Genomic DNA, 21,781 nt, shown 5'->3' on the forward strand with positions numbered 1-21,781 from the left:
GAGAAATAAGAGAAAGTTAGTAATGCTGCTCATATTTTCTTTGTCATTATTTACAGTGTATTATGCATACAGTGTAATCCATCAGCCAACTTTAATTTCGTAAGCTATTCATTGTGTTTAAACAGCGCCTTTCTTATATTAAATATTTATGGCAGTCTTTGGGAAGAATACATTAAAATAGCAGATGGGGGTCGTTTTAAACATTTCCTTGATTGAAGGCAGGGGACCCCCTTGTGAATTTATAGTCTGCTTTCAAAGAAAGTTCACAATGTCTGATAACCCAAGGAGGCAAGAATTCCACCAATTCCCAGCACTGTGATTTCAAAAAGCAATGGCTGCAAACAGTCTTCATGCTTCAGCACCTCCTATTTTGAAACTGTTAGCAAGAGCAGTGAAGAACGGTGAACAAAACCGTTTACAGTTGTATTGCCTATTAATAATGCAATAGGAGTACACCTCTTTTGCATTAATATTACTTTTTAATCGATTTTTAACCATAGTAGCAAAAATAAGTGGAAAGTCAAACCTTTGACCTGCGGTGGACAGGAAGATGTATCCTAGACTCTGGAATTCTGATTCTGGAATTTAAAAGATGTTTGGGGAATTATGTCCTAGGAAACGTTTTCTAAAACAGGAATGTGCTTTTTTGCTTTATATTTTCTATTTGCCTTGGTAACTAAGAAGTCTGAATCCAGGAATAATGTTTTTTTTTCCCCCAAAGTAGTCTCTTCTCCTGGTTTAAGCTTATAAACACTATACATCTTTAATTATATTATTTTCTTTAGTAGTTATCTTGACCTTTAGGAGTGTTACTGAATATAAAAATTATTCTATCAGTTTTTATTAAAATCTTAGATTATTAGACTGTATAATTTGACTTCATTATCATTTGATAATTGAGATGTTTCTTAAACAGTCTTACTCTGTTTTTTCTAAGCAAACAGCTTGCATTTGATGCAAAAGGGAAATGTTTTGTCTCTGAAAAATCTTATGTAGCTTTAACCAACTATTTCATTAATGTTTGGTGAGAGCTCTGATAGTTTCAGGCCAGGGAAACTATGACTCTTGTAGTACTTAAGACACTTGCCAATCAATAGTAACCATCCTCAGCTGATGGAGTGATCGTTTTACAATCACATAGAATGTAAAGGTATCATGGAAGGGGGAAGGTGCCACGGGCAGGCTGGTAATATCAGAGTCTCTTTAAACTTATATTTTGCAAGTAATTGTTCAATAGTTCTTCATGGGATGTGAAGAAACTAGTTTTCTAGTGGTAAAAATTGTATACCTTTGTTTTTAAAAATGTTTTATTATGTGCAGTGATTGTAATATCACATTTAAACATAGCCCAGGAGTTTTTCACAGATGTGCTCTCAAGGATCTGTGAATCACCTGAAATATCAAACCCATGTTGTATGTAGCTTGTTTTTGGAAGGGTATCCTTAGCTTCCATCAGTATCAAAGGGGATCTCTAATCCCAAAACCTTAAGCTGATCTGATCTAAGATCTTTATTTTCTAGATGAAGAATCTGAGATCTGACAAAATCAAGTGACTAATTTAAAGTAAGACAGTATTGAAAGAACTACAATTAAAATCGTTTATTCTACTGGAGATTGTCCATGAGGTTTACAATATTCTTTTTTTTTTTTTTTTTTTTCATTTTTGTTAGAGACAGGATCTTGCTATGTTGCCCAGGCTGGCCTTGAACTCCTAGCCTCAAACCATCCTCCCACCTTAGCCTCCTGAGCTGCTGGGATTATAGACATGAGCCACTGTGTCCAGTTCTCCAGTATTCTTTTATAAGTTAGATGTTAATACTGTAGAATTGAAAAAAATTATGAACCTTTTTCATACACAAATCTATTCAACTCAAAATACTTACGAAGTCGAGTCCTGGATTCATAATATCTCAGCATATTGTTTTGAGTTCCATCTGAGCTTGAGGATGATATCTATAAAGCCAGCCAATATTAATTACATCTTCAAGTGAAAGTACATTACCCGCCTCCCTGCAGTTTTAACCCTATACAGTGGAAGTGTAGCCTTTCCTTCTTCCAGGAATTGTTAGCATAAATCCTGACAGTTCCAGACAGTATGGAAGGATCCCAGTAGATAGGGAAAAGATCCCCACTCGAAGGTCCAAGCCTAGTGGGATACCTTTCCTGGGCACATGGTGCCAAGAGATGACTTAAATATCTACAACCACTTGTCAGCTCAGTTTTTTTGGGGACTACTCCAGGTCTTCCCTGGGGAAGGGACACATATTCTTCCTGGTAATAAAGATTAACCTTGGGGGCAAGGATAGCATTTTCCTCTGCAGCACAACGTAGGAGTAAATGGAAGGGAAAACCCAGGAAAGCAGAGGTGTTCCCTCACAGAGGCAGTGGTAGAAAAAGTAAGGTAGAAAAAAGCAGTAAGACAGGGATGTTTGGACAAGGCACTCATTCATAAGAAAGGAATGATAGCAGATTGGATGTTTTTTGTTTATGCCTTATGTATTTGACGTTACTGCCAGTGATTTTTGCCTTACATCTGACCTTTTTTAACGTTCAAAAGTGTCAAAATAGATTTTGTTGTTGTTGCAGTTTTGTAATGGGCGGGTGTATTATTATCAGGATGGAGGCTGATTTATTCTTTTAATTTTATTTTTTGCTGGCTGACACCTGAAGATCTACTAGCTCTCTGCCTCTACGGTCAAAGTGTGTTCTTCCCCACTGACAGTTGGGCTGCTGATGGCTCCTTTTAATTCCCATCAGCTGAGGGCTGACTCAGTCAACATCTTCTCCCCATCCTGGACCCCAAAGAATACAAGGAAAAAAGGCTCAGAGACTTAGCACATTATTTTTGTTTTAAGATGTCAGCACCTGATGTATTATTTTAGTGCTTGTTTAAATATTCTGAAACTGTGTTTTCTTTTTTCCTTTAATTTAAATTTGTCTTCATAAAGTTGGCTTACAAGAACATTTCTTTATCAAGTTTATCTGGATTTTCTGGGTCAAAAGTATAAGTGATTTCTGGACTTTTCTTGACAAAAAGTACCAAGAAAAGCTGCATTAAAACAACAAATCTAATTTTAAAAACACTTAGTGAGCTAAAACGCAGACTCAAACCAAACTAATGAAAGCTATTTAAGAGAAGTCAGTTGAAGTAGTTTCCAGAATTTATTTCATTGTTTTTTCAACTCTTTGTTAACACCATAAACGTGAATTAAAAAAAAAAAAATTAACTTGTTTTTGAACTCTATAAAAAGTATTTTTTTTTCTTTTAATTAACTTCATTGTTTTTTAAAGCCCTGCCAAGCTCTATTTCTGTGCTTGGGTAGTTCCCATTTGCAAATAGGGCAATTTCTGCATATAGGTCTGAACAGGCTATGCCACAATTATCCTTTTTATTGTAACTTTACTGTCAAAGAAGTAGTTTTTGTCTCCAAATGGAAATTCCAGAGTAATTCAAATGCCTTAGTAAACATAATGTCATTTCGTATTTCCAAAGGCAATGGCCGCTGGTCCAGTAAACAAAACCCATGTCGAAACCTGGAGTGGACCCACATCCCCTCATTGTTACTTTAGTATCTTTCATAATAATGACAGTTGCTAGGATTTGTTTTTTACCAAGTGCCAGGAAGAGTGGGAAGTGTTTATATGGATTATCTCATTTAATGTTTACATTAACTTTATGAGGTACAGGTATTATGTGTATTTTTTTTTTTTTTTGAGACAAGAGTCTCGCTCTGTTGCCCAGGCTGGAGTACAGTGACATGATCTCAGCTCACTGCAGCCTCTGCCTCCCAAGTTCAAGCAATTCTGCTGCCTCAGCCTCCCGAGTAGCTGGAACTACAGGCACCTGCCACCGCGCCCGGCTAATTTTTGTATTTTTAGTAGAGACGGGGTTTCACCATGTTGGCCAAGATGGTCTCGATCTCCTGACCTCATGATCCGCCCGCCTCGGCCTCCCAAAATGCTGGGATTACAGGCGTGAGCCACCGCGCCCGGCTGCGTATCTTAATCTCATAGACCAGGAAACCTAAGCTCAGAGACCAGTAATTAAGCTGCCTTGGCTACCTAGCTAGTAAACAGTAGAACCAGAATTCTAACCCAGACTGACTAAAGCTTAGCCTAACTGCATCACTGTTTTATACTGACATATGGGATGTACATTTAATGATATATATGCAATAGTTTTCTAGTTATAATTCATCTTTAAAGTCACTTGAGCTTGGAAAAGTTGCTACATATCATAATTGGCCTCGTGCCAGACACCAGGCCCTGTGCTATGTTCTCTACTGGTAAATTTGCTGTCATTGAATGGTAAGAATCCAGTGTCACCATACAATTTTACAAATAAGACATAGGAGATATTAATGTCCTCATCGTCATTGCCTGGTAAGAGGCAGAGTCAGGGGAGTTTCGCTACTAACAAAACTATTCTCCTGGTGCTGAATAAGAACTACTTGAACAAGCTACACAAAAGGATTAAAGCGCAATTAAGTTCTTTCCAAAAATGTGTGGTGGCATTTGTCTCCGTGGCATGTGATTATCTTTAGAACACATTCTAAAGATGATTTCCAACTCACAGTAATATTGGGAAAAAAAATTTGGAAAACATTTGCCCTTCCTAAAAGGTGAAACATTTGAAGTATTTTCCTTTCTGCCTCATGCCTTTCCTTCCTTTAGCAAACATTAATTGAGAACTTATTATGTGCTGTAGTCACTGTGCTGTTTGTACCTAAATGAATAAAACACAGCTCCTTACCCGAAAGAACCTGAAAATATTTTTCGAGCAACTGTCATTTCGTGCTTGCTTTGAAGTTTATGAATTAAGGAGTAGAAATTCAGAAACTCTTCAGTCGATTGATTTTACAGTATAGGTTATCTTCATATATTTAATACACATCTCAAATGTCAAGTTCTTTCTCTCTGCGTTAGTGCCCACACAGAACCATAAAATCTTGCCTTTGTATCATATGCTTATCTCTCCCAGTTCTTTATTTCTTTCAACCGTAGTGGTAAATCTATATATCATGGTGACACATTAATCATTTCTAAGCTATTTTTAAGAAACTGGAGTCTGTATTCCTTTTTGGGATCAATAATTGGGATAAATGAAATAATAGTGTGAGAACAAAATTTAAGGAGGAGATTTTAAAAGTTTCTCTGAAAGTCTAAAATTATTTTCTTTCTTGTTTTAAGGATTTTGATAACTAAATATATATAAGTTGTTGTTGTGTTCTCTTATGAACCCACCGAGTGTTTCTCAAAGTTGGAGTGTCAGGATCACTGGGGCACACAGTTTTGGACACCATGCTGGACCTACCTAATTAGAATCGTGTCCACCCACGTTCCCATTTGAAGTTGTAACATACTTTATTGGCAATTCTGAAGCACAGTAGCACTTCAGACCCATTTTTCCTATCGATTTTATTTATATATAAGCATAAACAGAAGAAACTTTGGTGTGGGTAAAAAAGAAACTACAAAGGGATTCCTGCTGACTCATGAGCCCTAAGCCTCCTTAGATTTCTGTTAATTGAGTTGAGACAATGCCCTTTCCCAAAACCTCTTTCCTTAACAGAAGGGAATTTCTACAATGGTTCTAAACTAGGATGGCGCCAGAGTCCCCTAACACCAAATTCCAGAGTCCTAAAAACTTTCCGTTTTTAGAGAATATGATTTCCTTGCCAACACCAAAAATGTTTCCCTAAAGAAAAATGAGGGAGAGGATATTATCTACCTAGTTCCAAAGAGAACCTTTTTACTGATGAAATCATATAAGCCTCATAGAACCCTCCTAGGGGAACCCAGCAAACAATATTAGCTTTTATTATATGTTTGCTATGGAGCCAAGGACCTGTACTAGATGTTTTTTGTGTTATTGAATTTGATTGTTATTGTATTTAGTAGCCTACTGAGATAGTTATTATTTATCCTCAGGTCAATTAAGTAACTTGTCCAGACATTGAGTTAATCAATGAAGGAGCCAGGAATCAAACCCTGGTTGGCAGAATTTCAAAACTGTCTTCCCAAGGAGAGAAAAAATGGAATATAGTGCTTCCCCCTCTGAATCACAAAAACTCCATCTCAGGAAGCCACCATTAGCAGTGTAGCATGAAGGAAAAGGAGTTTCTTCAGCCATCGTAAAGAAAGAGAATCATCTCCTTTCTGAATTTAAGTATTTACCTTACCCATGAGAAAACAATACCCTTTGCTTCAGGGCAATAAGATAATTGTTTTGGTTTCAAAGGTCTTTCCTTCTGGCTCCTACTGGATTAAAATAAACAAAGGTGATGTTTATGTCAACAATGTTATTTAGCCAAATAGGTGGCACTGTCAGTGTGAAAGCTAGATGGTAGTTGACTCTAAGAAAGGGATGAGATAGTTATTAACTAAAAGGAGAGACTCAAAATTAAGAATGCCTCTGCAACTGCAACTTTAGCACATTTGCCTGAATGTTATAATGTATTCACTGTAAAGTCTAGAAACCTTATAAATATATGACTGGCAGTTGCCTCAGGCAGAAATCTTTTACTGATGCAATGAGATAAAAGTAATTAAGCTACATGTAGACTGATGGGTAATTAAATCCATGTGAAGCATTTTGTAACTAATTGCTATGTTCTAATCACAGATTGCTTTCTATTTGTCAAGGTAAGTGTATATAATTACACCGTCCTTATTTTCTTTAATCTGAAATCATCCTAGTTGGGTGAATGTTTTTAAGCACCCTGAATCTTAGAATATTTGGTACATTTCTTGCATAAAGGTAATTTGCATATTTTGTAATTTAAGGACGTTTTATAGTAAAATAGCTTTTAGTGTCACTAAGAATTCTGTGGTCAATAGAGATTTCTAATCTAGGCTCATTGTTCATTGTTTAATCTTTTTTTTTTTTTTAAATAGTAAAAGGTTATGTTATTTACTAATGCCGGTAACATTCAAGGCATTATATATATATGGACTGTGGTCCTTATCACAGTAGTTAGAAAAGACCAAGGATCAGTAAAGGGATTCAAAATAGATTTCGATTGACACAGGTTGTAAAACAAATAAACAGCTTTGAGGGCTCAAGAGTCTCAGATTGAGAGAGCAATATGATTGAAGGCATGGCTGGATCTCCTTGACGGGTTATAGCTGGTAAGACAAGGGCATTTCTAGAATCAGGGGACTAGAGTGGATTTCATCTACTCTAAGTGGAAGTAGAAATGTGGATGTAGACATCCATTTAAAGCCAAGTTTTCAAATACAAGTCACCTTTGCTGCTTGGTGACACTAGACAGTGCTACAGATGTCTTATTCATCTTTGTGCTTTTAGCATGGTGCCCAGCACCTGGAGCTCACTCAGGTAATATTTGTGTTATTGCCATGAGTAACATGTAGACCAATAATGAATCAACAGATCATTTTCTGCAGATTATCATCATTTGTGGCCTTCTGTTTCTCATTTTCTTAGTTGTGTAGTCTGTTTTCTGACCTTCAGGGCATATTATAAAGTCACTGCATTAACAAAAAAAAAGTCCTAGGTAGGCATGGTGGTTCATGCCTATAATCCCAGCACTTTGGGAGGCTGAGACAGAAGGAACACTTGAGCCCAGGAGTTCAAGACCAGGCATGGCAACGTAGTGACACCCCATCTCTACAAAAACTGAAAAAAAATTAGCTGGACATAGTGGGATGCCCCTGTAGTCCCAGCTACTCGGGAGGCTGAGGCAGGAGGATACTTGAGCCTGGGAGGTCAAAGCTCTGCAGTGAACTATGATCACGCCACTGTACTCCAGCCTGTGCAAGAGAGAGAGAGACCTTGTCGCAAAGAAACAAAGCAAAACCCTGTACTTAATTACTTAATTCCGCCTTATACATTTTTTTTTTTTTTTTTGAGTTGAAGTCTCTGTCACCCAGGCCGGAGTTCAATGGCGCAGTCTCGGCTCACTGCAACCTCTGGCTACTGGGTTCAAGCGATTCTCTTGCCTCAGCCTCCTGAGTATCTGGGACTACAGGCACGTGCCAACACACCCAGCTAATTTTTGTACTTTTAGTAGAGACGGGGTTACACCATGTTGGCCAGGCTAGTCTTGAACTCGTGACCTCAAGATCCGCCTGCCTTGGCCTCCCAAAGTGTTGGGATTACAGGTGTGAGCCACCATGCCTGGCCTGTACATACTTTTTATTACATCAAATGTTTCACATCATTTTTTATTGCTAATGACTTTTAATAGCTTTGTAATTTATAATGAACTTTTAGCCTTCTCTAAGTGGAAATTATTATGATAGGCATAGTTTACTAAGGCTGAATTGTAATATATTTCTTTGGAAACCAGATCCTTACTCCCTCATTCTTCTCATTTTTGTTGAGCAATTAAAGTTGCCCTGTATGGTGTGGAAAATTAGACTTTTTTTTTTTTTTGGAGACATACTTTCACTCTGTTGCCCAGGCTAGAGTGCTGTGGTGCAGTCTTGGCTCACTGTAACCTCTGCCTTCTGGGTTCAAGAGATTCTTGCGCCTCAAGCCTCCTGAGTAGCTGGGCTTATAGGCATGCACCTCCACACGCAGCTAATTTTTGTACTTTTAGTAGAGACAGGGTTTTGCCATATTGGCCAGACTGGTCTCGAACTCCTGACCTCAAGTGATCCACCTGCCTCGGCCTCCCAAAGTGTTGGGATTACAGGTATGAGCCACCATGCCCGGCCAAAATTAGACTTTTTTAAAAAATAGAAACAGGATCTTGCTACATAGCCCAGGCTGGTCTACAACTCCTGCGCTCAAGCGATCCTCCCCCTTTGGCCTCCCGAAGAGCTAGGATTACAGGCATATGGATTCCTCTTCTGCTCACTGCACACCAGACCTGCTTCCCCACACTCTTGGTGTAAGAGTGCCAGCCTGCCAGCCATCAGATTTTTTCTTTCCTCGGAGACAAATGTTATGTTGATTTCTTCACACTGCTGCACCTTGTCCCATAGCTTCTCCTTTGTATTAGTGTAGATATATAATAATGAATAGAAATGTAATGCATTTTATCTTTACTGTATCTAACTTTAACACCTCAAAAACATAGAATAATTATTCTTTTCTAATGCCTGCTGACAATATTATCTTCACATCTTTCTGTTTGTGGTTATGCCGACCTATCTTATAAATTTATTTAACTTAAAGCTTTTCTGTACATTTTTTTAAAAAAATTCTGTGTCACAGTGTCTCATAATTTTTTTTTTTTTTTTTTTTTTTTTTTGAGACGGAGTCTCGCTCTGTCGCCCAGGCTGGAGTGCAGTGGCGGGATCTCGGCTCACTGCAAGCTCCGCCTCCCGGGTTCACGCCATTCTCCTGCCTCAGCCTCCCAAGTAGCTGGGACTACAGGCGCCCGCCACTACGCCCGGCTAATTTTTTGTATTTTTAGTAGAGACGGGGTTTCACCGTTTTAGCCGGGATGGTCTCGATCTCCTGACCTCGTGATCCGCCCGCCTCGGCCTCCCAAAGTGCTGGGATTACAGGCGTGAGCCACCGCGCCCGGCCCATTTTTTTTTTTATATATCCCTTGGGGAACTTCACATGGGGCTTGGTGACAACTACTTACTAAATACCACTTGCTGATGACAATGGCAGTACTATGACACGCTTCAGGATGTGGTCTTTGAGTTTCTAATTGCAAATACAGGCATTATCTTTTTTATGTAGTGTGTGAGGCTTCTTATTTAAAGAAAAATGTGTTCATTTGATGGATTTTTAAAAATAGGTGATAATTTTAGAAGCACCATAACAGTAGCCACTTTAAATCAGGAAACTTTGACTCCGTGCTGAGGAAATAGGTTCTTGATTTACATTAGACAAAGAGTATGTTGGCCCTGCCTTACTTAAATTTCACCTGAAGCTCCTAGAGTCTGTTGGTTACCAGAGGTTTCACGTATTCTGAGTCCTTTGCCCTGATAACCCGTACTCTGCCTTCATTTTCTTCCTTGTTTGCTTTTATTGTATAAAAATCCCAGAGTTACAGAAGTGTTACAAAAACAGTAATAAGAGTACATTTACCCTTCTTCAAGTGTTTTTTTTCTCTCTTTCTTTTCTTTTTTTTAAAGACAGTGTTTCACTCTGTCCCCCAGGTGGGAGTGTAGTAGCACAGTCACAGCTCACTGCAGCCTTGACCTCCCTGGCTCAAGCCATCCTCCTACTTCAGCTCCTGGGCTGGGACTACAGGTGTGTACCACCACACCCAGCTAATTTATTTGTATTTTTTGTAGAAATGGGGTTTCGCCATGTTGCCCAGGCTGGTCTCAAACCAACTGGGATCAAGTGATCATCCCTCCTTGGCCTCCCAAAGTGCTGGAATTACAGGCATGAGCCACCACACCTGGCTTTAAATGTTTCTATTTTAACATGACATTATATAACTATCAATACCAGAAACTTAACGTTGGTAAAATACTATTATGTAATCTGCAGACCCTATCCAAATTTCACCCATTGTTTCACTAACTTTCTTTTTCTGGTCCCAGGTCCATCTAGGATCCCACATTACATGTGGTTACCAAGTCTCCTCAGTCTCTTCACTTCCAATCTGGGCCAGGTCTCCTGTCTTTGTCTTTTATAACCGTAATATTTTTGAAATGTGCTGGTCAATTATTTTATAGCACCTCTCTCACTTTAAGTTTGTCTGGTATTTCCATGTGATTAAATTCAGGTTATGCATTTTTGGCAAGAGTACCACTGAAGTGATTGATACGCACTTTTCAGAGCATCAAGGTACATGATGTTAAGATTCTCATTACTGGTGGGTTTGATTTTTATTACATAGTTAAGGTGATGCAAAATTTCTCCACTGTGAGGTGGTTTTTTTTTTTTTTCATTTTAATTAATAAGTGTCTTATGGGGGAAATGCTTAAAAACTGTAAATATCTTCCTTCTGCCCACTAAGTTTAGCATCCATGGATGATCCTTGCCTCTGACAATTATTACTTGTGGTGTTTGCCAGATGTTGATTTTCCTATCTTACCTTTTACATTCAGTAATTAAAATTATATTATATGGAAGACCTCTGCTTTTTCCTCCATTTATTTTTTGAAATACCTTTTCTGTTTTGGACTCATGGATATTTATTTTGTTCTATACTTTAAATTCTACTACTGTCATTATTTATTCTGTTGATCAGATTGTCCCAGATTGGCCATTGAGAGCTTCTTCAGTTTGACTCCTTTGTTCTCTTGATTTGCCCTCATAATTTTTTTTAGTACTTTCTTACTGTCTGGCACCAGAAAGTGTTTTAGGCTTACTTTGTACTTTCTGTAACTCAAATCCTGGAATCACCCATTTCTCTAAGCAATTCTTATACTTTATGTTGGGAGAACAGAGTTTTGAAAATAAGATATGATCGCTAGTTGTGTTCATTGCTTCCGGGGTATCATCTTCTAACTTGATCTTTTAAATTTCGAGTTTGTGGAGTTCTCTTGGAACTGATAGATAGCCAGTGCACTTCTATGTAGACTGATGGTCTTCAAATGATTCTCTAGTAAAATTCTCCTTTTTTTCCTATTAAAATGAAATAATATTTTTTTCTCGTTTTAAAGGGAAAATGGATTAAGTTAATTGATAGAATCATCTCAATTTTCTGTATTTCTCAGGAAACCTTTTCTTCCCATTTTTGTGGCTATTCTCCATTTGTGTGGATATATAAAAGATGATAAATTAGTGCGTAAGTAGGAAACATTAACAGAAGCTCAATTTATTATTTTTACAACCTTTTTTTTTCTGTTGAATATATATAGGTATTTTCTGATTGTGTACTTTCTACTCCAATGGGAATGAGCATTTATGCTTTGTTTTCTGTTTGAAATACTGTGAAAACTTGAATACTTTCTTATGTTCTTTTCTTTGTAAGCAAATCTGAGAACTGCACCTGTAGGCTCCTTCTTCCTTTCATGTTGTCATCTCAATGTCCCCTCCTCCTTTTCCTCCTTCCCCAACCCTTCATGCTTCCCTTTCTTCCTGTCTTCTTATTAATTTCTTCATTCAGTCAATAAATAAATATTCACTAGATGCTTAATATGTTCTCAGTCACTGTCCTATTACAAGAGTTAGTTCAGTGAACAAAACAGAGAATTGCAGTCTTATTGTAGCTTTCGTTCTATTTGGGGGTGGGGTGGAGAGGCAATACACAGTAAACATAATTAGAAGTAAATTATATAGTATGTTAGAGGTACTTCTCTCCACTTTTTTCTGTCTGTTCCTTCCTCCTGCTGCATTTACTAATTTCTCTCCATTGGTCACTGTTGGAGATCTTTAAAATAAATAATGAATGAAAGAGAACCTTTCTAGGACCTCAGCTTAATCCTTAACCAGCTGAAGCCACAGGAAATAACAAAAAAGAACTGGGGAGTTAGAGAATACAGAATGAAAATGTATTTCACAAGAGTTTTGTAGAATATTTAAGTGAACTCAAGTTTGAAATATCAAAATGGTTTTTCCTAGAAGAGATTTGGCAGACTTAATAGAGGTAATAAAGCATTTTTAAAACTTAACCAGGGCACTTATGAAAGATAACAAAGTAATTTTGCTGTATTTGGCTAAGCTTGGGCCAGTGCAATTACTATAAGTACTCTATTTTCTTTTTAAATCCTTGTAAGTAAATGCCACAGTAATATATTGGCTGCAGAGGAGACAAAGGTGGAGAGTTTCTCTGTAAAGGTTTTATGGAGGGGGGATTGAGAGATGGTGTTTTTATCAAGTTAACAGGAGTGCTTTGGTAATGATAATTCATTTTTTCCTAAACAAGAAAAGTTGTATAGATCACACCTGGAAATGAGGAGCTTTTAAAAATATTTCTATTCCACCCATGTATGGCAAATTACATATCTTACCTATTTTCTGTGTTTCTTCATTTATAACTTATAAATAATGGTTTACAGTTAGAAGCAATTTGTAGATAGAAATGCTATTTGCAGTAAGAACTACTAAATATTTATTTTAATAGTGAGAATTAAGGACTCAAAACTTTGAAGTATAGTTTTAAATACAATAGTCTCTATTTTGTAAACACTGTGAAGTGTATAAAATGTGTATGTCCAAGATAACTTAAAGATAATACACAAAATGATTGTTGTACAGTTGCATTTGTGAATGCCACTTTTTAATTTATTAACTATGTAATATAATGTTTTGAATTTTAATAAAATATGTCAATACAATCAAGAAATATACATAAATGAAGCACAAAATCTTATATCTATCAATCATATCACTTCACTGTGAAGAATTTTCAGTTTCTGTTGATTAATTAGGAGAAAGTATAATTTATTAATATATTTCTATTATGTGAATTAAAATTCATGTTAATTCTTTTAGTTCTTCATTGTAGGCAGTTCTATACCTTATAACAGTGCTGCCCAGTAGAAATATATGAGCCATATGTATAATTTAAAATGTTCTAGTAGCCGCATTAAAAAAGCAAAAAGATACAGGTTAAGTATATTTTAATCAGATACTTTAACTCGTTATATCCAAAATGCTAATTTCAATTTGTAATCAATTTCTTTTGGCGGGGAGCGGGAGATGGAGCCTCTCTCTTTTGCCCAGGCTGGAGTGCAAAATGGCTCAATCATAGCTTACAACAGCCTTGAACTCCTGCCTCAACCATGCAAGTAGCTAGGACTACAGGCATGTACCACTGTGCCCAGCTCAGTTGTAAAAATTATTTTAAAATCTTAATAAGATAGTTTACATTCTTTTTTCATACTAAGTAGTTGAAATCAGATGTGTACCTTGGCACTTAAAGCACATTTTAGGGCCAGGCACTGTGGCTCACGCCTGTAATCCCAGCACTTTGAGAGGCCAAGGCGGGCAGATCACGAGGTCAGGAGATCAAGACCATCCTGGCTAACACAGTGAAACCGCGTCTCTACTAAAAATACAAAAAATTAGCCAGGCGTGGTGGTGGGCGCCTGTAGTCCCAGCTACTCGGGAGGCTGAGGCAGAATGCTGTGAACCCGGGAGGTGGAGCTTGCAGTGAGCCAAGAATGCGCCACTGCACTCTAGCCTGGGCGACAGACGGAGCAAGACTCCATCTCAAAAAGAAAAAAAAAAAAAAGCACATCTTAGTTCAAACCAACTGCATTTCAAGTGCTCATCAGCCACATATGGCTTGTGGTTTATTGGATAGTACAGGTTTTATTACTCTTAATGCATCTCATGTTATTTACACATTGTTTTGGTTTTCTTCAATCATTTCTTATTTCTAATGCTACTAAAGCTGGCTTTTGAGATTTTTGGTTGGTACTACTCATATCATAATTATAGTCAGCATTTTATAGGTCTTCTCCTTGAGTCACTAAATTGGCATTAAAAACAATTATGTTGGAGTTCCTTCTTGGAAATTAAGAGATTAATTCTAATCCATGCTGTGCTGCTGCTTATTGTATCACTTTGGGCAAGTCTGTTAACCTTTCTGTCACAGTCTCTATTTATAAAATGAAGTGGATAAAGAGTTTTGGCATTTCAAACTGGATAATTCTTATTTTAAAAAATTGTCTGTGTTTGTTATTCAAATACATTGATTGATTACACTCATATGCATTGTGTTACCCATAGTGCCAAAAAAGGTTTATCTACTAGGATCTATTTTTAGTGAACGATGGTGATAAGCCATGAAGAGGGAGAGAAGTATCCTTAACTGACTTTCAAGCACAGAATTATTAAAATCTTACATTATATCTGGGTACAAATTGGAGAGCCCTGAATTGGCACTTTGGGGCAAAGAAAAGGTGAGATCATTGAAGTTGTTGGTTTATTGTTTTCGTCAGTGCTAGCAACTAAGTATGTTTTACCTTTTTGTGAAAAGTTGAATTATTGGCGATAAGGAATTATCACTTTTTTTCCATGAGGTAGTTATTTCAAAATGACATTCTGCTTTTCCCCTTCGGCAAGAGGATAACTAACATACTATTTTAAAATACTGAATATTAGCTCTCTAGATTAGCCTCTCATAGCAGAATTTAATAATGATCATTGTACTTAATTAGCTTATAAGACAGCTTATGTTTAACACATGTAGACTTCATTTGTTGATTTAGCTCCTTTTAGATGTTTTATAAAATAGAAAAAAGATGGACTTTACCAAAATTACCACTTTGATTGATTGATGGTTGCCCTCAGGTTTAAATATATACCCTTAGCTTATCACAATCTACGTTCAAATAATATTTTACTACATCATTTATAGTGTAAGAACCTTGTAATTTTATATTTCCATTTCCTCTTCTTGTCCTTTGTGCTATTGTCAGTTTTTTGCATCAAGTGTAAACCCCAAAATATGTTATTATTTTTGCTTTAAATGTATATATATACTTTTTTTTTTTTTTTTTTGAGATGGAGTTTCGCTATTTTTGCCCAGGTTGGAGGGCAGTGGCGTGATCTCGGCTCACTGCAACCTTCCTCTCCTGGGTTCAAGCGATTCTCCTGCCGCAGCCTTCCAAGTAGCTGGGATTACAGTTGGGTGCCATCATGCCCAGCTAATTTTGTATTTTTAGTAGAGATGGGGTTTCTCCATCTTAGTCAGGCTGGTCTTGAGCTCCCAACCTCAGGTGATCTGCCTGCCTTGGCCTCCCAAAGTGCTGGGATTACAGGCGTGAGCCACCACGCCCAGCTGAACAATTATATTTTAATGGTGGCTCATGCCTGTAATGCCAGCACTTTGGGAGGCCAAGGCAGGCAGATCACAAGGTCAGAAGATCGAGACCATCCTGGCCAACATGGTGAAACCCCATCTCTACTAAAAATACAAAATTTAGCCAGGCATGGTGGCGTGTGCCTGTAATCCCAGCTACTTGGGAGGCTGAGGCAGGAGAATCGCTTGAACCAGGAAGTCAGAGGTTGCAATGAGTGGAGATCACGCCACTGCACTCCAGCCTGGTGACAGAGCAAGATTCTGTCTCAAAAAAAAAAAAAAAAGATTAAAAATTATATTTTATATATACCCACATGTTTGCCATTTCTGGTCCAATTCTTTTCTTTGTGTGTCATCTGGTACTCTGCTTTTTATCTAGTATTGTTTCTCTCCTGTTTAAAGATCTTTCTTTATTAGTCTTTGGAGTAGTGCTGGTATTGAGTTCACTCAGCTTTGTCTGAAAAGTCAACAAAAATCTAGGTTAAGAGTGTTTCAGTCTTTTGAGGTTATGTCTCCATTACACTCTGGCTTGCATCATTTCTGACAAGAAGTCGTCTGTCACTCTTTTCTTTGTTCTTGTATACAATATTGCTTCCAGCCCCCAGTTGCTTTTAAGATTTTCTCCTCATTACCTTGTTTTTTCAAAAAAAAAAAAAAAAGAAAAAGAAAAAAAGAAAAAAAAAGTAATTTGTTTGTGTACTTTGATGTGGCTTCTTTTGTTTATTCTGATGAAGGTTTATTGAATTTATTGAATCTGTGATTTATAGTTTTTGCCAAATTTGGGGTAAATTTAGCCATATTTTAGGGACTCTACTCATGTGTTAGTGTGCTTGGTGTGGTTCTGTTCTGTTCATTTTTATTATGAATGTTTTATTTCTCTTCGTTTCATTTTGGGTAGCTTCTGTTACTACTAGGTCTTCAAGTTCATCTCTAGAAGTTCCACTAGGTTCTTTTCAAATATCTTCTTTTGTTTTTTTTTTATCATGTTCATATTTTTTTAAACGCATAGACCACATGTACAATAGCTGGTTTTATGTCCTCGCCTGCTAATTCCATCATGTTTGTCATTTCTGACTGTGTTCCTATTGATTGATATTTTTTTTTTTCCCTCCTGGTCATAACCACACTGAGCCAGACTCAGTGGTGCATGCCTGTTGTCCCAGTACTCAGAAGGCTTAAGGCAGGAGGATTAAAAGTACGAACCCAGCCTGGGCAAAATAGTGAGGTTCTGTCTCCAAATATATAAATAAATAACCATAGTCAATAGTTTAGCCCACATCAGTACTCAGCCAGAGACTTGAGGGGAGCCCTCTTCTGATTTTTGGAGCTCCGTCTCCATAGACAGCCCTCTCCTCTATGATATTTAATCCTATCAATTATAACCTTCCAAACTCCAACCTCTGTCTCTTCAACTCAGAAAGGTCACTGGGCTCTGTTTGTTTTCCTACCTGTCTGTACTGTGACCTGGAAAATGCCTCCAGATAGTAATATGGGAACTCATGTTGCTCATCTCCTTTGTTTCTCTCAAGAATCACATTCCTTCACTGTGTTGTTTCTTGTCCAATTATTGTTGTCTCATATATTGTGTCAATTTTTCTAGTTGTTTACAGTAGTAGGGTAATTTCTATAACAGTTAATCCTTCATGTGTAGAAGTGGAAGTCCTCACAGTATGTCCTTTTTGAGACGGAGTCTCACTCTGTCGCCCAGCTGGAGGGCAGTGGCGTGATCTCAGCTCACTGCAACCTCCACCTCCCAGTTCAAGTGATTCTCCTGCCTCAGACTCCCAAGTAGCTGGGATTACAGGGGTGCACCACCATGCTGTGTTAATTTTTGTATTTTTAGTAGAGACAGGGTTTCCATGTTGGCCAGGCTGGTCTTGAACTCCTGACCTCAAGTGATCCACCCGCCACAGCCTCCCAAAGTGCCGGGATTATAGGCATGGGCCACTGTGCCTGGCCTGTCCTTTTAATTGTTTGTTATCATCAGTACGGTCAGAGTCAACAGTTTGTACTGGATATTACATATTCCTCTATAGAAGCAGACATGTTGGTAGTTATCATTTTGATTGGCATAATTTTGGTCAAGTTATAGAACTGGTTATTGATATATATGTTATTATAATGGTATTAAAATTACCTTTTGTTGACATTACCTGCAAATGTTTGTAGTGTTTTGTTCTTAGAAATTTTAAATTGAAGATGTAGCTGGTTATTAAATTCTTGCTAACTGGTATATCTGTCAGACCTTCCTATTCTGACTATTCTTCCTTTCCTCAGGGCTGAATCACTAGCTGCTTCTTAAAACTTTTAAACAGTATTTCTTTGTCCTAGAATTGCACTTTATTCTTTCATTATCTAGAAACAGTGCATATGTGCACACACACGTACACACACACACACACACACACACAACCTTTTTACTTAAGAATGTAACTATCTTCTCATCTCCTACATCCAACCTGTAAAAGGCACATAAGGCTATTTTAACTAACCCCTTTTGAGTATCCCTAATCCAAAAATCCAAAATCCAAAATGCTCTAAAATCTGAAACTTTTTTGAGTGCCAACATGACACTCAAAGGAAATGCTCATTGGAGAACTTTGGATTTTGTATTTTTAGATTAGGGATGTTTAGCTGCTACATATGATGCAAATTTTCCATAATTTGAAAAAAATCTGAAATCTAAAATCCCTCTGTCCCAAGCATTTTGGATAAAGGAATATTTACCTGTAGTTCAAAAGAATAAAGTGATCCAAATTATCATATTTATAATTATAGTTTCCAGGTTTTTGGGTAGTAGGTTCTTGAGGGTGAGCCTATTTTTCTATTCATTTTCCTACCTCATAGAGGCCCTATATCACATATTCTCATTTGTCCTATCTTCTGAAGCCAAAGCAGTGGTTCAAACGTTAAGACTCTGAGTTTGTGGCAAGTATTGGTTTGTTTGCTGGATTTCAACTTAAATAATGCTAAGTGAGAATCTGGGGCACAGTAGTAGTATTTAGACTCCGTTGGATGGAAAGAAATAAGAAAAGAAAAGAAATAAAAGACAAGCACCACTTTCTTTCCCTCTAGGTGATACCAACTAAAAACCATACATTGTTACTGGTCTGGGTTCCTTTTATTTATTTCTATTTACATTTGTGAGTGTTGTTTTGTATATTTTGGTCAATTATAGTAATAAATTTCCCCTCCAAATAAAGAATGAATGAAATTAATTTTGTTCTGAAAGACTGGACAGTTACATTATCTGTCATTTTTTTCCTGCCCCTTCTTATACAACGTATCTAGTGATTTGAGAATTTTGAAACTGCATTCAGTTTTCATGAGCATAAGTATGAAAATATCTTAAAGTGAAGTTATTGAGAGCTTTCACTGGCAAGTATAATATACATATTGCATAATTATTGGCTATGACAGTGCATTGTTTATCAACATGTCATCTTTGCTCTCTCAGCCCTGCCCTGTGAGCTTGAGCCCCTTATAACAACTTCCATTAACACTGGCTCCCATTGTACAATTCTTTCTCACCACGAAACTCTCACTCACTTCATTCTAACCACACTGACCTCTTTGTGGTTCCTTGGGAACTGCAGGCATACTCATACTGTGTCTTTGCACTTATATTCCCTCTGCTTCAAGGGCTCTTCCTTTAGATAGCAAATCTGCATGGCTTAGTACCTTGATTCATTCAGGTTTTGTGTCATTGTGAGTCTTCCTCAACTATTCCCTATCAAAAATAAGTGTCTTTTCCCAATCACTTCATCATTCTGGACTCAAAACATCTGCCCTCCTTGGCCTCCCAAAATGTTGGGATTACAGGGGTGAGCCAATACGGCTGGCCTTTAAATGCATTTTCAACTTACAATGGATTTACTGGGATGTAATCCAGTACCACAATCCATACCTTTTTTTTTTTTTTTTTTTTTGAGACAGAGTTTCACTCTTGTTGCCCAGGCTGGAGTTCAATGAGGCAATCTCGGCTCACTACAACCTCCACCTCCCGGGTTCAAGTGATTCTCCTGCTCAGCCTCCCGAGTAGCTGGGATTACAGGCATGCGCCACCACGCCCAGCTAATTTTCTATTTTTAGTAGAGACGGGGGTTTCTCCATGTTGGTCAGGCTGGTCTCCAACTCCTGACCTCAGGTGATCCGCCCACCTCAGCCTCCCAGAGTGCTGGGGTTACAGGCATGAGCCACTGCAACTGACCTCATCATCCATACCTTTTATCTTGCTTTTAAAATTTTTATTAGCACTTATTTTTACTTGACAATATGTTCTTTATCTCTTAGTTTATTGTCTGTTTCACTTGAATAGATTTCACGTGGGCAGAGACCTTATCTCTAAGGTTTAGAACAGTATCTGGTACATAATAGGTGTTCAACAATTACTTGCTAGAAGGAGTCAATGAATGAATGAATGAATGAATGAATGATGTTTTATTTGTATGAGGACACCTAAACTATATACCTGATATACCTTCAAACTGAACATATAATAATATAATAGAAAATAGAAAACTCTCTTTGCTGTTTAAGTACAGATGCTCCTCGACTTATGATGGGGTCACATCCCAGTAAACCCATTGTAAGTTGAAAATATAAGTTGAAAATGCATTTAAAGGCCAGGCTCATTGGCTCACACCTGTAATCTCAGCATTTTGGGAGGCCAAGGAGGACAGATTTTTTGAGTCCAGGAATTTGAGACCAGCCTGGGCAACATGGTGAAACCCTGTCTCTACAAAAAATACAAAAATTTGCCAGGTGTGGTGCCATGTACCTGTAGTTCCAGCTACCTGGGAGGCTGAGGTGGCAGGATCACTTGAGTCCAGGAGGTCAAGGCTGCAGTGACCCATGATCACACCACTGCATTGCAGCCTTGGTGACAGAGTAAGACCCTGTCTTAAAAACAAAACAAAACAAAAAAAGAAAGAAAAGAAAAAGAAAAAAGCATTTCATACACCCAACCTACTGATCATCATAGCTTAGCGTAGCCTACCTTAAACATGCTCAGAACACTTTTATTAGCCTACAGTTGGGCAAAATCATCTAATACAAAGCCTATTTTATAATATAGTGTTGAATATCTCATGCAATGTGTTGAATACTGTATTGAAAATGAAAAACAGAATGGTGTATGTTTACTGGAAGTATGGTTTCTACTGAATGCGTATCGCTTTCACACCGTCATAAAGTTGAAAAATCCTAAGTTGAGCCATTGTAAGTCGGGCATCATCTGTGCTTGTATAAGTTTTAAAGACAAAATTTTCTAATTTTAATTATAGAATTTCAGTTCTGTTTGACTGTACCTTGAGTGAAGGTCACTTTTTTTTTTTTTTTTTTTTTTAAAGAAACAAGGTCTTACTCTGTTGCCCTGGCTCTAGTGCAGTGGTGCAATCATAGCTCACTGTAACCTCAACTCCTGGGGTCTAGTGATCCTCCTGCCTGAGCCTCCCAAATAGCTAGAACTACAGGTGCACACTACCATGCCCAACTAATTTTTTTAGTTTTTGTAGAGATAGGGTCTTGCTCTGTTGCCCAGGCTGGTCTTGAACTCCTTAACTAAGGGAATCCTTTGTGCCTTGGCCTCCCAAAGAGCTGGGATTACAGGAATGAGCTACTATGCCTGGCCCAAAGGGAAAGACCTTTAGGACCAAAACATTAGTCATAAAAATTCTGTCCTTTAAAAATCTGAACTTTTATTTGTTCTTCATTCCATAATTGAGCTCAGTGGCTGAAATAATGAAAAATCCTTTGCTTTTTTACTTTTCTTTACCTTCTAAACTATTCTGTAGCTCTTTGTTAGTCTTGAAATCTCGATAAGTTTTTATCACCATTATCAACTGATTATTAATATTTTCTGAGAACAGTGTACTGCATTGCAGGCATCTAATGATTTTCTTCTTTCCTCTTCCTCCTCCTTTGTGTATCCATAATGTTTGGACTGCTAGCGTTGAGCCTGTTGTGATTTTTAAAGATAGAATTACACCTCTCTCGACATCCTGCTGAAACACAAGAGGACCTGTTCATAGACACTGCTGTCTGTATTTTCTCTAGGGGTATTAAAAATGCCCATATATGGAGCATAACATACTGTGGTATTAAGAGGATAAACTTAATCTGCTTCATTGAGGCTTATTACA

At 37.6% G+C, this 21,781-nt stretch overlaps 1 protein-coding gene across 16 annotated transcripts in view, besides 1 other annotated feature; it reads left to right on the forward strand.

Moving 5' to 3' along the window:
- Positions 1 to 21,781, forward strand: part of CDKAL1 (CDKAL1 threonylcarbamoyladenosine tRNA methylthiotransferase) — a 697,948-nt gene that overhangs the window by 392,591 nt on the left and 283,576 nt on the right. The window lies entirely within an intron of this gene.
- Positions 5,378 to 5,578: a silencer, noted in NCBI's record as "peak5723 fragment used in MPRA reporter construct". NCBI's record gives its function as "represses an SCP1 promoter by STARR-seq MPRAs in K562 erythroleukemia cells {active_cell/tissue: K562}" and the evidence as "EXISTENCE:reporter gene assay evidence [ECO:0000049][PMID:32103011]".

Source organism: Homo sapiens, chromosome 6, assembly GCF_000001405.40.
Source record: "Homo sapiens chromosome 6, GRCh38.p14 Primary Assembly".
Classification (NCBI taxonomy): domain Eukaryota; kingdom Metazoa; phylum Chordata; class Mammalia; order Primates; family Hominidae; genus Homo; species Homo sapiens.